This window comes from Homo sapiens, chromosome 18, assembly GCF_000001405.40.
Source record: "Homo sapiens chromosome 18, GRCh38.p14 Primary Assembly".
Lineage (NCBI taxonomy): Eukaryota > Metazoa > Chordata > Mammalia > Primates > Hominidae > Homo > Homo sapiens.
In genome coordinates, this window is record NC_000018.10 from 58656579 (window position 1) to 58672601 (window position 16023).

Below are 16023 nucleotides of genomic sequence, written 5' to 3' on the forward strand. Positions count from 1 at the left end.
CCTGCCTGTTTAACTTAAGGTTGCTCACACTACTGAGGCGAGATAGAAAAGTAGTTGGTGAATTTCAATTGGAAAAGTGTAGCCATGGGAAGGAACCTAGGAGTCTCATCTCTCTCCTGAAGTTAATCTGCCCAATGTCTCAAAGGCCTCAAGAACTGTTCTCAGGGAAGTATTAGAATGCAAATAAAACCACCATTCTACTTTTGACTAGAAATCCTCTGGTGGTTGCCTGAGATGGGGAGGTATTGTTTAATGGGTATAGAGTTTCAGTTGGGGAAGATGAAAAAGTTCTGGAGATGAATGGTGATGTCACAACAATGTGAATGTACTTAATGCCACTAAATTGCACGCTAAAAAATGTTAAAATGGAAAATCTTATGTATTGTATATTTCATCACAATAAAAAAATAGCATAGGATGATTGTTTATCCACTGGGAAAATAAAATAAAATAATCATTATTACCTCTAAAACCAAAATAAAACCCTGATGGATGCTTTGCCAGTTAAAGCATCTTCAGAAAGATGACAAGAAGTTAGACACTGTATCCACAGGAACAATTTGGCTTAGGCAGAAAAGGGAGATTTGTAGGCTCACCCAACTGAACTGCAGGAAAGGTGGGTATGAGCTGGACCTCAGGACTGACCACACCTGGGACTGGAACACCACCCGCCCTTTCTCTGTCTCTTGTTTCTGCTTCTCTCAGTGCACCAGCCACTCTCTCCCACCACAGACTGGCTTCTTCTGCACAGCCTGTGGGACATGGCCACCGAACAGCTCAGACTCATACCTCACAGGTTTGCCACCTGAGCAAACCCAAGATCTTCCATCTGGTTGAAGGTCAGAAGTCTCAGGACTGAATTTGGGGAACATGCCTATCTGTAGCCAATCACTGAGTTAGGGAAGCAGATCAGTCAGAAACTGGGGGATCCCATTAAACCACACTGTGGAAAGCAGTATTCCTGAGAACAGAGTGCTACTCCACTCTAGGCAGACAAAGCAGTAGCCACCAGCTATCTGCACAGTCCTTCCCTTCTCTGGAACAGATCCCAAACAGTGCTGGGAAGACCTCAGCAGCACAGTTGGACCACCTATGTGCTCCTTCCGCCCTCATTACTTGTACATCCTGGATCCCTGGATTTCTTAGCTAATGCTGGGTTGGCAGAAATGAGGGGGAGGGGAGCAGTAGAATCCTGCCCTAAATTGCAGCCAGTCATCTGAGGTCATTTTTTCCTTGTCAATGCTATATCCCCAGAGGGTTGGACCCTTCTCTATTCTGTTATGCTTTATTCAGACAATTTCTAGAACAATGTTGGCCAGTATAGATGATTCCCGTCATTTTATCTCTACTACCTAGGTCCAAAGATTCCCCCCACAACCTTGTGAATCTCTGACTCAGTGTTATTAGTCTTAAAAACCCAGGTGCTGAACCAGACTATGCTGTGCTCCTCTTTGGAGTGAATCTTGGATTATCAAATAATCAAATAATGGCTAAGATCAGCCCTTGTTTCCCCATGTCCCTGCTTAGTGCCAGCTCTGTCTTCATCCCCTCCCAGGCTTGGCCACCCTTCTGCTGAGATGCACCCTAGCATGTTGCCCATAAAGGAATGTGAAAAAAGTATCTACACTTCTGAAGATAGTGTGCTCCACCCTTCAAAGCTTTAGGAAGATAAATTTAGACATAAAACAGGAAGTATTTCTCTGTGTGGCTAAGAGTGATCTAAGAGAAGTTATTTCCTCAAGATATTTTGAAGCTGTAGTGTGGGGAAACAGTTCTCAAACCCCAGTGTGGATCAGGATCACCTGGAGGGCTTACTAAGCTACATATTGTTGGGTCCACCCCAGAGTTTCGATTCAGTCGATCAGGGGATCAGAGGTGGGGCCTAAGAATTTGCATGTTTTTAACTCTTTTTTTTTTTTTTTTTTTTTGAGATGGAGTCTCGCTCTGTCACCCAGGCTGGAGTACAGTGGCAAGATCTCGACTCACTGCAACCTCTGCCTGCCGGGTTCAAGCAATTCTCCTGGCTCAGCCTCCCAAGTAGCTGGGATTACAGGTGCGTGCTGCCATACCCGGCTAATTTTTTATATTTTTGGTAGAGACAGGGTTTCGTCATGTTGGCCAGGCTGGTCTCAAACTCCTGACCTCAAGTGATCAGCCCACCTCAGCCTCCCAAAGTGCTGGGATTACAGGTGTGAGCCACCACACCCAGCCAGAATTTACATTTTTCAAAAGGTCCCTGATGTTGCTGAGGCAGGACCACACTTTAAGAACCACTATAGTAGAGGTTTAGGAAGAGACAGAGAAAAATCTCTCCAGGCTACAAGACTGTCTGATGCTGAAGGTCTTGGCCTAGGTCAGCTAAGGTGCTCTTTAGGGTTGATATTCTGTGATTGTTAAACAGGTGACTAAATATGTATCTGTGTCAAGCTACTCTTATTATCATTAAACAGTTCTTGACTGCTTACTTTATTAAAATATAAGAATTTCCAAGAGCTTCGGACCTCTGATCTATATATAACAGAACTTCATTAAGTATAACTCACTAAGTCACTTAGTGAAAAGCTTGAACTACAGAATAGTCTAACTAATTGCCCTTTCAAATAGGCATTTAACAATAATTTCAACTAGCCTCCTACAAAACTGTTTCACAGCAAAGCTTTCACTGATGTTTTTGCAAAATGAATTTAATTACTAATTATCATATAAGGATTAGCATATAGCTGATATGTAAATGTCTTAGGTATGATTTAAACTGTTGAGTCAACTGAACATGTACCTTCCTCTCCCACTTCCTCCAACAAATAAATCTTACTTGTATTTTAATTTAATACTGTGTCCATTCTTCTGAAATAGCTGTTTATTCTGAACATCTAATTTTAGACATATAACTAATATGGTACAATTTTCAACTGCCGGTTATTTAAATGCTGCCCCCTCCCTGACACAAATAAATCTTATTTACATATTATTTGCTTCATAAGTATTCCACCATCCTGCAGTCACTGTGATCATTGTCCCCAGCTAGTCTTTGATCTGTGATAATTGTCCACAGGTAGTCTTTGATCATATGTTCTCCTGTCTGGAGGAACTAATATGTCCTTCCAACTCTGCCCAGCCTTCAGGTACAATTTAGGCCCCTACTTTTCTCTTAGGCTTTCTTCAGCCACTGTAACTTTTTTAAGTTTCTCCCTTATCCAAAGTCCCTTACTACTTAGAACCTCGGAAGTAAAGGGACCTCAGAGAACATCCAGTCCACGCTGCCCTCTGTTTAAATGTGTCTACAGTGTACCACACCAAGGAACTCCCACACTCTGAATGAACAGCCCAGTGATCAGGAGCTTTGAATCAATTCTTGGCACCTAACAGTTTGTGAAGAGTCTGCTAAACTCCCTCTATCAGAAATCCCAGAGGACTGAGAACAGGTCATCCTTGGAGGTATGTAATACAGTATTTAACCACCTTTCTACCTGAGTGTGCTTACCTGCAAAGGGTAATGTCGATATTAACCGAGAATGATCATGGTTGTCACATTTAAACTAATAATAATAAAGTACACAATTTATTATGCAGAAAGAATCATGCCTTCATAATCAGTCTTCACAAAGATTCCTTTAACTCTCTGCACCCACCATTCCTAATCCTGGAAAATTATTTCTCTTTGCTCTTTGCTCATCCATAGGCTCTTTGACAAAAGTCTCCAGAAAACTACTGAACTACACACATCAACAATAAAGAAGTCCTAATGTCCAAAACCTTGCTTGTCACTTTTTTGTTTGTATAATTTATCTCCACAACTAGATCATAGGCTTCTAGAAAACATGAGTTCTGTTTTAAATTTTGTGCCCCTTGGCAGCTGTATCTGAATGGAGTCAGGATCTGGAAGCCCAAGTCTCCTTGTCAATGTCTGCTTGGTTCCCAAGGACACCTGTAAATGGAAGAGGGGCATAGTACACAGAAGACATTGCTGGCAAGTGTGGTCTCTTTACGATCAGGTGAGTCATCTGCTGAAATCTTTATAATAGACTTCTACCTTGATGGAATGGGTTGGACTAACGAGGAACCACCATTACTCCAAGGCCCAGAGCAGAGCTGGGCCATCAACTGTCTCCACACTTCCTGTCTTCTAGGTGCCACCCTGATCCCTCATTGCCTTTCAGCTGCATGTCTAAATCCCCACCCCACCCCTCATCTAGTTGGCTTTGATTCCAAGGACCTAGGACTGGAGTAGGGCTTTCACAAATAAGACAGCAGGAATGTAATGCAACCTAATGAGCAGACTAAGAAAGCATCTATACAGAAGAACAGACATACAAATACCAAGGCAGATAAGAGTGACAAAAGACAAAAAAAAAAAAAAAAAAAAGAGAGAGAGAGAGAAAAAGCTGAAGCCGGTCAGAATTCATCAGGGGATGGTGTATGTCTACCACCTCAGTGGTCCTTTAAAGGTAAACGGGCTTATTTTTCATGCACCAGCCTATGGTCCCTTCACTGGGACACTCTCAACATCCCCGGCTTTTTATAACTCTGGCTGGAAAGGTCAGCTCTGAACTCTTCCTGGGCAGGGAAAGGAGTTCACATAGGGATTGGGGATGGAGTACGGGAGCAGAGGAGCAGTGCCTATGTTAGAAACCGGTAGGAAGGCCGGGCGCGGTGGCTTGCGCCTGTAATCCCACCACTTTGAGAGGCTGAGGTGGGTGGATCAACTGAGGTCAGGAGTTTGAGACCAGCCTGACCAATATGGTGAAACCTCATCTCTACTAAAAATATAAAAATTAGCTGGGCGTGGTGGCATGTGCCTGTAGTCCCAGCAGCTGGGCAGGAGAATTGCTTGAACCCAGGAGGTGGAGGTTGCCGTGGGGCAAGATCGTGCCACTGCACTCCAGCCTGGGTGACAGAGGAAAACTCTGGTTTCAGAAAAAAATAAAATAAAATAAAATAAAATAAAAGCAGCAGCAGCAGCTGGTAGGAGCTGGATGCCTGGAAGAATAAAGAGCCTTTCTCCCTTAGGAGTGAGCCTAATAGATGGATCTTTACTCCCTTTCTCCTGGGCCCTCTACTGGTCTTTGCTTCTCCCATTTTTCACATTCTGACTGCATATACATACATGGCAATATATAGAGAATTTGGCCCCTTGACTCTCACCAGAAGCACCCCCCCAGCCCCATGACTCTGATTTCTTCAATGACATACGTTAAGTACTTTTTCTCCAAAGGTGAAATGATCCTAGGCTTTCTCAAGGGCAATGATTCTGAGCCTTACCCACATTTTAGAATCAGCTTAGGAAACACAAAAAAATCTCAATGACCAGGCAGCACCCCCAAGCCAATCAAGTAAGAATCTGGGGTGTAAGACTCAGACATGAGTATATTTTTTTAAATTGTTTATTTTTATGGGGACCTAGCAGGTATCTATATTTATGGGATATGTGAGCAATTTGGATACAGGCAAACAATATATAATAATCACATTGGGGGAAATGGGGTGTCCATCACCTCACGCATTTCTCATGTCTTTGTATTACAAACATTCCAATTATGCTTTTAGTTATTTTTAAGTGTACAATGAATTTTTTTTTACTTTAGCCACAGATCTAGGTACATTTTTAAACTCCCCAAATGATTCTAATATGCAGTCAAGGCTGAGCCAGCTGCCCTGGAGATGGTCCATCCCTTTTCAGGCCTCGCTGCACATCAGACTCATCTGAGGAACTTTTAAAACCACTGTTGCCTGTGCCCCACCCAAACCAATTAAAATCACTGTCTCTGGGGACTACAGCCAAGATATCAGTATGATTCTTTTTGTGTGTGCGATAAACTATATATAACATAAAATTTACCTTTGAACTATTTTTGAGTGTGCAAATCAGTGGCCTTAAGTCCGTTTGCAGTGTGTACAGCCATCCCCAGAACTTCTTCATCGTCTCAAACAGAAACTCTGTACCTATTAAACAATACCTCCCCATTCCCTTCTCCCACTAGCCCCTGGCAATCACTTTTCTACTTCCTGTCTCTATGAATTTGACCATGTGAAGTACCTCCTATAAGCAAAGTTGTACAATATTTGTCCTTTTGTGTCTTATTTCACTTAGCACAAACTTTCTAGGTTTATCCATGCTGAGCATGTATAAGAATATCATTCCTTTTTTATGGGCCAGACATAGTGGCTCATGCCTGTCATCCCAGGAGTGGGAGGGATCATACGCCGTTGGGAGACCGAGGTGGGAGGATGGTTTGAGCACAGGAGGGGTTCAAGACTAGCCTGGGCAACAAAGGGAGACCCTATCTCCAAAAATATAGAAGAAGCTGGGCACGGTGGTTCACGCCTGTAATCCCTGCACTTTGGAAGGCCGAAGTGGGCTGATCACTTCAGGCCACGAATTTGAGACCAGCCTGGCCAACGTGGCGAAACCCCCTCTCTACTGAAAAATACAAAAATCCTCTGGGTATGGTGGTGCACGTCTGTAATTCCAGCTGCTCTGGAGGCTGAGGCACGAGAATTGCTTGAACCTGGGAGGCGGAGGGTGCAGTCAGTCGAGGTGGCGCCACTGCACTCGAGCCTGGGAGACAGAGTGAGACCCTGTCTCAAAACAAAAATAAAACAAAAAATAAAAACAACAAACAGACACTTATTTTTGAAAAAAGAAAAGAGAATGTCGTTATTTCTATGGCTGAATATGATTCCATTGTATGGATATACTACATTTTTTTAAAGAATTTTCAATTCTTTGGGGTATGTACCTAGCAGTGGCATTGTTGGATCATATGGTAATTCTGTTTAGCTTTTTGAGGAATTCTTTATCCCTCATGTAACTCTTAGGTACAGCCAAGGGAGAGGAAGGAACGCTGATATGGCCAGCATTCCTCTTAAAACCTAAGAGTGGCCAGGCTTGGTGGCTGATGCCTGTAATCCCAGCACTTTGGGAGGCCGAGGCGGGGAATCATGAGGTCAAGGAATCGAGACCATCCTGGCCAACCAACATGGTGAAACCCTGTCTCTACTAAAAATACAAAAATTAGCTGGGCATAGTGGCGCACGCCTGTAGTCCCAGCTACTCTCGGAAGGCTGAGGCAGGAGAATTGCTTGAACCCGGGAGGCGGAGGTTGCAGTGAGCCGAGATCGCGCCACTGCACTCCAGCATGGGTGACAGAGCGAGACTCTGTCTCAAAAAAAAAAAAAAAAGAAAAAAAAACCTAAGAGTGTACTGATTGGTAGTTGGTAAATATTATTGAATGAATTTCTTCATAAATTATATGATAGTCCAATGCATTTGTTATTATCCCACATTCAAAAAACTATTCTGTGGATTAATGTAGTTATTACCCGGTTGAAAATCCCATTTTCCATTCGAAATAACATCCCAATTGAAGTTTCCACCCACAGTTGAAATGTGTCCCCTGTGATAATTTAAGTTTCAGAGTTTCTTAATGATTTGCTTTGTAGATAATAAATTAGGCCTGATTCAAGACTTTTCCTATCACAATGCCATTTTTGTAATAACGCCTGGTGTTATTCCTATTGTAATACTAATGCTCAGATAGCTTCTCTTGAATAGAAAGGAGAAGCTGTCTATATCCATATGAACAAGTACATATAAATGTCTTCCATCTCATAAAGCATTGCCAAACTATCCTTTTCTATCAGGCCTCAACATTTCTACCTGAAAATTAACTGCAAGGATGTTTTACTACATTATAATATACCCTTCCTACCCAAGTGGTGTCTGCTCTAAGATGTCAACCACCTTTTGCAATACACTATTGCCCTTTCTGCAAATTGGACAGTTTCTTCAGAATTTACAACTTCTGTTTCAATGTAGGAGCCAGGTGGGATGCTTTACGCAGAGACAGGGATGGGTGGAGACAGACAGAAATACATGCAGTCTCCCTATAAAGGTTCTTCAATCCCATACCTCAATGTATACAAATCTGTAAAAATGTATACATGGATAAACATACATCAAATAGAGAAATCCCAAAGTTCACTTTGGGGAAAAAAAAAAGAAAAAGTTGCCAACCAGTCTAAGCAATACTGAAAACCACTGTTGTCTCAAATAATTGATGAATCTCTTACCTTTTTCTTGTTGCTTTACCATTTTTAAAAAATGTGTCTGAAGTTTTACAACCATTCCTGGATGTGAAGTGGAACGATAGTGGTTTGGGGCATCAGCTGGGGTAGGTCAGGGGGATAGGAAAAGCAGAGGAGAGTCAGTGCCACCTGGAGAGTTGATTGAGCTGAGAGGAGAAGTGGCAGCACCTGTGAGTTTTGAGATCTACTAGGTATGTTCTAAGATAGCACTTTCTAAAGGAAAATCCATAGAACACTAGTTCTGGGACACACTTAGCAAAAACAGGCCCAGTAAGTAAAGAAGTTTGGAGACACTCTATATACCGGTGAAGCCACAACATATTGCAGTTTCTTAAAGGCTCTGAGACACACAGAAAAGAAACCTGAAAAACTTTAACACAGCGTTTACCAAATTAGTTTTGCCATGGAGCTCTTTTTGTAAGTAATGCACTAATAATGTGTTTCAAGGAACTGGTGTTCCCCAGGACATAACTTGGGAAATTTTGCTCTAGAGCAACTGGATACTCTTGCAACCATTGTTCTTATATCCCTGGACCTTCAAACCCTATTATTATTATTTTGAGACAGAGTTTTGCTCTTGTCACCCAGGCTGGAGTGTGATGGCGCAATCTCATCTTGGGTCGCTGCAACCTCTGCCTCCCGGGTTCAAGCGATTCTCCTGCCTCAACCTCCCAAGTAGCTGGGATTACAAGCATGCATCACCAGGCCTGGCTAATTTTTTGTATTTTTAGTAGAGATGGGGTTTCACAATGTTGGCCAGGCTGGTCTCAAACTCCTGGCCTCAAGTGATCCGCCCGCCTCGGCCTCCCAAATTGCTGGGATTACACGCATGAGCCACCGCACCCGGCCCTTCAAACCTTATTCATTCCTCCTAGTGTTCCAAGCCCTCATTCAACCACAGCTTCTCACAACTCTCATTTCCTTTTATTAGCCACTTTTCTTTCCAAGACAATGTCTATCCCATCCCTTGAATGCCACATATTAAAATCCACCTCCTGCACCTTTGCCCCTTCTCATTTCCCCCACTTGGAACATATCCATCCCTTCCTTCAAGATCCAGCCCTAAACTCTGACTATAGGAAGCCTTTTCTGAAGAAGTCCACTTACATGGAATGTTCAGTTATTTAAATTCTGCTTTATTTAATCCTAGTGTATCACAGAGAAACTGCTGGTGATACAGTTACATGAATCTTCTCTTGGGAATAATTTGTCATCTCTACCTTTCATACTTACTCATTTAACAACCAGGCTAAATCTAATACCATTGCCCTCTCTACTGCACGTTTACTATATTCCATACACCAGAAATGTTTGTTTCATTTCCTTCTGACTAAACCAAGTAGAATGTAGAATAACACATTTGAAAGTTGGCTGAGGCGGGTGGATCACCTGAGGTCAGGAGTTCGAGACCAGCCTGACCAACAGGGTGAAACCCTGTCTCTACTAAAAATACAAAAATTAGCCGGGTGTGGTGGCGCATGCCTGTAATCCCAGCTACTCAGGAGGCTGAGGCAGGAGAATTGCTTGAACCCAGGAGGCGGAGGTTGCAGTGAGCTGAGATCGTGCCATTGCACTCCAGCCTGGGCAACAAGAGCAAAACTCTGTCTCAAAAAAAAAAAAAAGTTTAAACATTCTTTAAAGTATAGTGATTCATGCAACCAGGCACAGCCACAGACTAGTAAAAAATAATCCCAAATATTTGTTCAGTTTGCCCCTCCTCTCCATGCCCAATGTTGTGGCTCTTGGTGGAGGCCTTTTTTTCCCATCTACATTACCAGAATACTTCTTGGACTTCCACTCTTTCCCCTCCCCACATTGCTGCCCGAGAGATGTTTCAAAAATCCAAAAGTGAAATCACTATCCTGCTTAAAATATTTCAATTACTCTCCATCACTTAAAGCAGTGTTTCTCAAACTGTAAACATTTAGCTTTAGGGGTTTTGACATATCCACATACCACCTGTTCTCTTGGGTATTTAATATACTTCCTTAAACAAAATCAAATTTTAACAAGTAAATTTGATATAGTCCTAATCAATACTATTAGTTGAAATGGCAATTTTGATTGGCAGCTATTTTTCTTTTCTGTATTAATGTATAACTATTAAGATAAAAATGTTCATCCATGTTATGACTTAAAAGCATCTTGTATAACACCAGTGGGGCATAGATGGCTCTGTGGTAGGTATGTATCTACAGAATAAAATCTCAGCTTTTGGCATGACATAATCTGGTCTTCACTGCCTTTTACATCGTGGTCTCTGTCCCTTTCCCATCAGTATCCCCAGCTCTCCTGGAGCAACTGCAGTTCTCCAACCTTGCTGTGATGTTTTCTGGCTCTGTGCTTTTATAGTATGGTATTCTTTTTTTTTTTTTTTTTTTTTTGGAGACGGAGTCTCGCTTTCTCACCCAGGCTGGAGTGCAGTGGCACGACCTCGGCTCACTGCAACCTCCACCTCCCGGGTTCAAGCAATTCTTACTCAGCCTCCCGAGTAGCTGGGATTACAGCTGCCTGCCACCATGCCCGGCTAATTTTTGTATTTTTAGTAGAGACAGGGTTTCACCATGTTGGTCAGGCTGGTCTTGAACTCCTGACCTCGTGATCCACCCGCCTTGGCCTCCCAAAGTGCTGAGATTACAGGTGTGAGCCACTGCGGCCAGCCTACAGTATGGTATTCTTTCTACCCTGTTTCCCAAGCCATCTCCTCTCATCTTTCCACATGGACTGAAGGGCTCTCCCCTGGATTTGTATACTTCTTGCTATCAACAGAGCACTTACTCCTCCTGTTCCTTGTCTTAAGCAGACATCGGGTTTGGTCAACATTGTATTCTGCAAACTCTAAGGGAAAACTGGTGAAGACCGAACTGTGGTGTGGGAATCCCGCCTAGCTCATCTGCCTGGGTTGTCTTTATCTTTGTCTCATGACTAGGCTACTTTACAACTCTGAGATCGCAGTGAACTTACAGAAAACTGATAGTGATGCAAGTGAATCTTGTTTATAATTAAATAAATTGTCAGGTGGAGGTTCAATTGCATTCCCTCCTCCACTGTGGAAGAAGCTAGTTTTGCATCTAGGAAGCAACTTCATTTCAGTGGGCTGACATATTTATCTGGTCTTTGGGTTCTCCTCTGAAGTAATTGTAACACCTTTCTGATTCCCTTGTTAGTTAATGAGTTAAAATCTCTGATATGTGTTCATTGCATATTTGTTGCATCATGATTTAAACTTTCTTGTAGAAACTATTCTTAAGACCGGACGCGGTGGCTCATGCCTGTAATCCCAGCACTTTGGGAGGGCCGACATGGGTGAATCACCTGAGGTCAGGAGTTCAAGAGCAGCCTGGGCAACATGGTGAAACCCGTCTCTACTAAAAATACAAAATATTAGCTGGGCGTGGTGGTGTGCACCTGTAATCCCAGCTACTCAGGAGGCTGAGACAGGAGAATCACTTGAACCTGGGAGGTGGAGGTTGCCGTGAGCCGAGATCGTGCCATTGCACTCCAGCCTGGGCAACAAGAGCATAACTCCGTCTCAAAATAAATAAATTAATCAAATAAAAACTATTCTTTAACAGTATGTATTTGATACAGAGCCTGGTGCCCCAAGAATATGTGTTCATGACGGAATGAATGATTGAGTGAATGAATCAATTTAGACAAGTAGGTGTAGACTTTCCATGGTCAGGATCAAATATTTAGGTCTGGATGATTCATCATGAAGGAAGAGTGTGGAATACTAGCATGATGCCTAGCTACTATTACAAAGTTGAAATCGAAATGAGAAAATTTCCCTAATCCTTTGGAAGATGGTGGCAAGAATGGGCTGCAGGGGATGTGCTGAGCCTGTGTCTGTGGGTCACCTGAGTGGCTCCTACAGAGGCTGAGTCAGAGAGGTCACAAAGTGGGCTGAGCATGGAATAAGGGATGGCAGACAATGAATGCCTTTTTTTTTTTTTTAGACAGAGTCTTGCCCTGTTGCCCACACTGGACTGCAGTGGCACAATCTCAGCTCACTGCAACCTCCGCCCCCTGGGTTCAAGTGATTCTCCTGCCTCAGCCTCCCAAGTAGCTGGGAATACAGGCGCGTGCCACCACGCCTGGCTAATTTTTTTTGGTGTATCTTTAGTAGAGATGGGGTTTCACCATGTTGGCCAGGCTGGTCTTGAACTCCTGACCTCGTGATCTGCCCGCCTCAGCCTCCCAAAGTGTTGGGATTACAGGTGTGAGCCACCACGCTCGGCCATGAATGCCATTTAAGCCACATAACTCCTGCTTCCTTTCCCTCCATTGTATACAGATCCAAGGACCAGCAGGTTTTCTCCTGCACTGAGTCTTTTAAACCCTGTCCAACTGTGAAATAATATATCATTCTGGCGTTTTTTTTTTTTTTAGTTGGAGTACCATCTATAGTTAAACTGTATAAAGGAAAAAAATCCTATGAGTCAGTTTCCAGACCTATGAGTGCTTTGAAGATTACATCAATGGAGTTCCATATATTGAAACCACAAGCTTCCTGCCAATTGTCTGGATTTACAAAGATCTATTTCACTTTGAACTAATGAGGAAGAACTCCCAAGGCTATTATCTATAGACATGCATGAACTTTTAAGGGACATTTAAAAGCCAGATCTTTACCCCCAATTTTTCTCCTATCTTTATATAAACATAACGGTTAATATAGAAAAGAAAGCTGAATTACTATTTACATTGTTCCCAAAATTGATGTAGCAGTTTTAAGAGTACTAATATACAATGCACATACTTCTCCCTGACGCTATATAACACTATTAGGTACTATTATTTTCCACTTTTTACAGGTGTGGAAACTGAAGCTCAGAGAGGTTAAGTAGATCACCTAAGTTCCACCACTAGACTAGTAAGTGGCAGCAACATCAAGTTTCCAATTCAGGACTAACTTTAAAGGTCACATTCTACTATACCATTATGCCCATAAGAGAACCACAGGAGTGAAATTATGTCATAGAAATATTAACATTTGATTGAGGAGAGAAAAAGACCAGTCAAAAAAGGTAATGTCAGTTTGGGTAGAGGATGGAGGGTGGCGGGTAGTGACTGGATAGGGTATAAAATTGCTAGGTGGAAAAAAAGGTTGGGAGTAGGGTAAAACGAGGGAGGCAGTCACTTGGGAAGCCAGGGTGGGGGCGTACAACTCGAGGTCAAAACAGTGCCCAGCTGAGCTATATTGGCTAAGAGTAAATAACACTGGCACCCATTTAACTCGTATGCACACGAGAGGTTGCATAAGCAACGCTTTGTACATGGCAGACTTTTCTAAGAAGTCTAAATTTAGAAGACCTCTGTTGAATTTAAATTAAAAGGCAGGATTCCAGTAAAGACTAGAAGATTTTATTTCCATAATTGGCACATGCAGGTAACAGATCCTCAGAAAATATTTGTACAGTAATTGAGGACAAAACAGGAAGGCACCTGAAGCGGTTGGGAAAGGCTTGCCAAGTCAAACTGAGTATGAAACGGCACTTGTATGTGTAAGGGTAATAGCATTTACTGAGTCATCTACGATGTGCCAGTTACCGAGTTAAGTGCTTCACATACATCAACTCCTTTAATTCTGGCAACAACTCTATATAAACTGTATTGTCAGTCCTGTGTTAATAGATGAGGCAGAGAAATTAAGAAACTTATTCAAGCTCCTAACACTTGAATCGAGCAGATCTTTCATGCTCTTAGCCATCTCACTGCAGTCTGAATTCTTAACTTATGCTAGAGTGAAGTTTAATGACTGCTTGTGCTAGAATGTGGTGGAGACTGTATGGCGCACCTACCTCGCCAACATGTATAAGAATATAGGTATCCAAATTACTGGTCAGAAAATCCTGCGGCCTTGGGTGATGAAAAGCTAATGGCAACAGAAATTGGGCCAGGAAGCCTCGTGTAGGGAACTACCTGACTGGTCACATTTCGTAAGTTACTTCCTTTTTGTCCCAAACGAAGCCATAGTTTTCAAAGGGATAATGGCCTTGGATGTTGCTAAGATTGGCAGAGAGAGCTCAGGTGTCGTCCATTCCGGATCATTCCAGGGAAAGGCATCCTCTACAGGGTTGCCTGCTTTGATGACGGAGATTGCGGGCGGCAGTCTGACGCGGTGTAAACCAGATGATTCCTGCTAAAAACAATCATTTCCAAGATCTGATTAGCCCTAAATATGCCACAGCTCAGTTTGCAAAGTAGTAATTGTTTAAAAGTCTAGGCAAAGATTTTGGCCAATTCCAACTCAAGTATCCGGATCTCCAGCACTACTTCCCTCTAGCAATGCCATACACATCTAACCCTAAAACGAGGAAGCGTCCGCTGAGGTTGCCCACTGCAGGATGCTGGTGTGTCGCCGGGCACATGAAAGTCCCTGAGTCAGGGGAGAGCGCTCGCCGGGGACTGCGGGCGGGAGCCGGCGACTGAGAACCGCTTGCCCCGCTCTCTGGCGTGAGTACGCAGGCCTCCTCCCACGGTCTCAGGAAGCCCAGACGCCGCAGGCTTCCCCGCCGTAGAGGAGCTGCCGGGGCGTAATTCCTCCACCGCTTCCTCCTCCAGCTGCACCCACCCGTCCTTTCCTGCTCGGGAGGGCTGGGTTTGAAGCGCGCGCCACGGCCAGCCCGGGACCGCGGGGGAGGGCGAGGGAGGCGCGCAGCCGCACGCACGCAGTAGGCAGCCCCGCCCCGCCCCTCGAGGCCCAAGGTCCCGCCCCTCGAGGCTCCGTGCCCCGCCCCCCGGGTGCCCCGCCCCTTTGCGCGGCTGGCGCGGCCAGCAGGCCAGGCTCCCCTCGGCAAACCTGTCTAATTGGGGCGGGGAGCGGAGCTTCCTCCTCTGAGGGCCGTGCCGCGCTGCCAGATTTGTTCTTCCGCCCCTGCCTCCGCGGCTCGGAGGCGAGCGGAAGGTGCCCCGGGGCCGAGGCCCGTGACGGGGCGGGCGGGAGCCCCGGCAGTCCGGGGTCGCCGGCGAGGGCCATGTCGCTGTTGGGGGACCCGCTACAGGCCCTGCCGCCCTCGGCCGCCCCCACGGGGCCGCTGCTCGCCCCTCCGGCCGGCGCGACCCTCAACCGCCTGCGGGAGCCGCTGCTGCGGAGGCTCAGCGAGCTCCTGGATCAGGCGCCCGAGGGCCGGGGCTGGAGGAGACTGGCGGAGCTGGCGGGGAGTCGCGGGCGCCTCCGCCTCAGGTGAGCTCAGGGCCGCGGCAGGCCGGGCGCGCGGGTCGAGCGGGGTGGGCTGCGGTGGGGAGGTGGGGGCGCTGTCGGTGGGGCTGAGCGCGGCGGGGGCCGCCGGCGTGAGTGAGCGGAGGTGGGGAGGACTTCGGTCATTGAGGCGGAGCGGAACTCAGCAGCTCCCCGGAACGCCTGGGGTTTGAGAGCGGGGCCCAGGGCTCTGGAGGGTGGAGGCAAAAGTGGCCCAGCGGCTGCCTCGCTCCCTGTTCCCACCCCCGCCCCTGGTGAAAGGGAGAAGTCGAGGTTGACCCCGGAGGATAGTGAGAGAAGGAAAGCTGTCAGGGGACCCCTAGGATGGGGCAGTCATCCAGAGGACTTAAAATGCAAAAGAAAGGGATGTGGACACTGCTCTGGGAGACCTAAGGAAGGCTGGGAAGAAGCGCAGGCGAGGTGATGAATGCAGAGGGTGGGGTGCAGGAATTCATGAACATTTTGCAAGGTATTGGGAAAGACTGACGCCGAACTCATCATCTCCCTCCATCAAACCAGGTTACCACGTTCTCTTCTTGACTTCACCATGAACATGAAACTCGAAGTAAAACTATTTTCCTTGTTAGGTTTGGAATGGCTGTATTAGGGTTCCTGAAGTTTTGGTCTCGAGACTCCTTTACCCTCTTAAGAATTATTGAGGACCCCAGAGAGCTCTTATGTGGGTTAGAGATAATACATACATGTAATACATACTGATATTTACCACCTTTGAA

At 45.0% G+C, this 16023-nt stretch overlaps 1 protein-coding gene and 2 long non-coding RNA genes across 7 annotated transcripts in view, besides 2 other annotated features; 2 read left to right on the top strand and 1 right to left on the bottom strand.

The window, feature by feature from the left end:
• Positions 1-1960: 1960 nt before the first annotated feature.
• On the top strand, positions 1961-12770 carry LINC03110 (long intergenic non-protein coding RNA 3110). 2 transcript variants are annotated; one of them, NR_187442.1, is made up of 4 exons: positions 1961-2053; positions 3285-3435; positions 3854-3992; positions 12478-12770. It is a non-coding gene; the product is annotated as a long intergenic non-protein coding RNA 3110 (long non-coding RNA). The 2 variants fall into 2 exon arrangements; NR_187441.1 differs by lacking the exon at positions 12478-12770 and adding an exon at positions 11323-11662.
• MALT1-AS1 (MALT1 antisense RNA 1) lies at positions 13431-15295 on the bottom strand. Its single transcript, NR_164150.1, has 2 exons — positions 14891-15295; positions 13431-14230 (listed from the first exon to the last, which is right to left on the bottom strand). It is a non-coding gene; the product is annotated as an MALT1 antisense RNA 1 (long non-coding RNA).
• Positions 14206-14465: an enhancer, noted in NCBI's record as "active region_13400". NCBI's record gives its function as "activates an Ori minimal core promoter by ATAC-STARR-seq in GM12878 lymphoblastoid cells {active_cell/tissue: GM12878}" and the evidence as "EXISTENCE:reporter gene assay evidence [ECO:0000049][PMID:35858748]".
• Positions 14626-15415: a silencer, noted in NCBI's record as "silent region_9487". NCBI's record gives its function as "represses an Ori minimal core promoter by ATAC-STARR-seq in GM12878 lymphoblastoid cells {active_cell/tissue: GM12878}" and the evidence as "EXISTENCE:reporter gene assay evidence [ECO:0000049][PMID:35858748]".
• MALT1 (MALT1 paracaspase) overlaps positions 14887-16023 on the top strand; it is an 83013-nt gene continuing 81876 nt past the window's right edge. For all 4 annotated transcript variants that reach the window (XR_007066087.1, NM_006785.4, NM_173844.3 and 1 more), the window contains exon 1: positions 14887-15274. Coding sequence is in view for 3 of the 4 variants with exons in the window: in NM_006785.4 (NP_006776.1) it covers positions 15066-15274 (209 nt within the window). In the remaining variant the exon portion in view is untranslated. The remainder of the gene's footprint in view (positions 15275-16023) is intronic.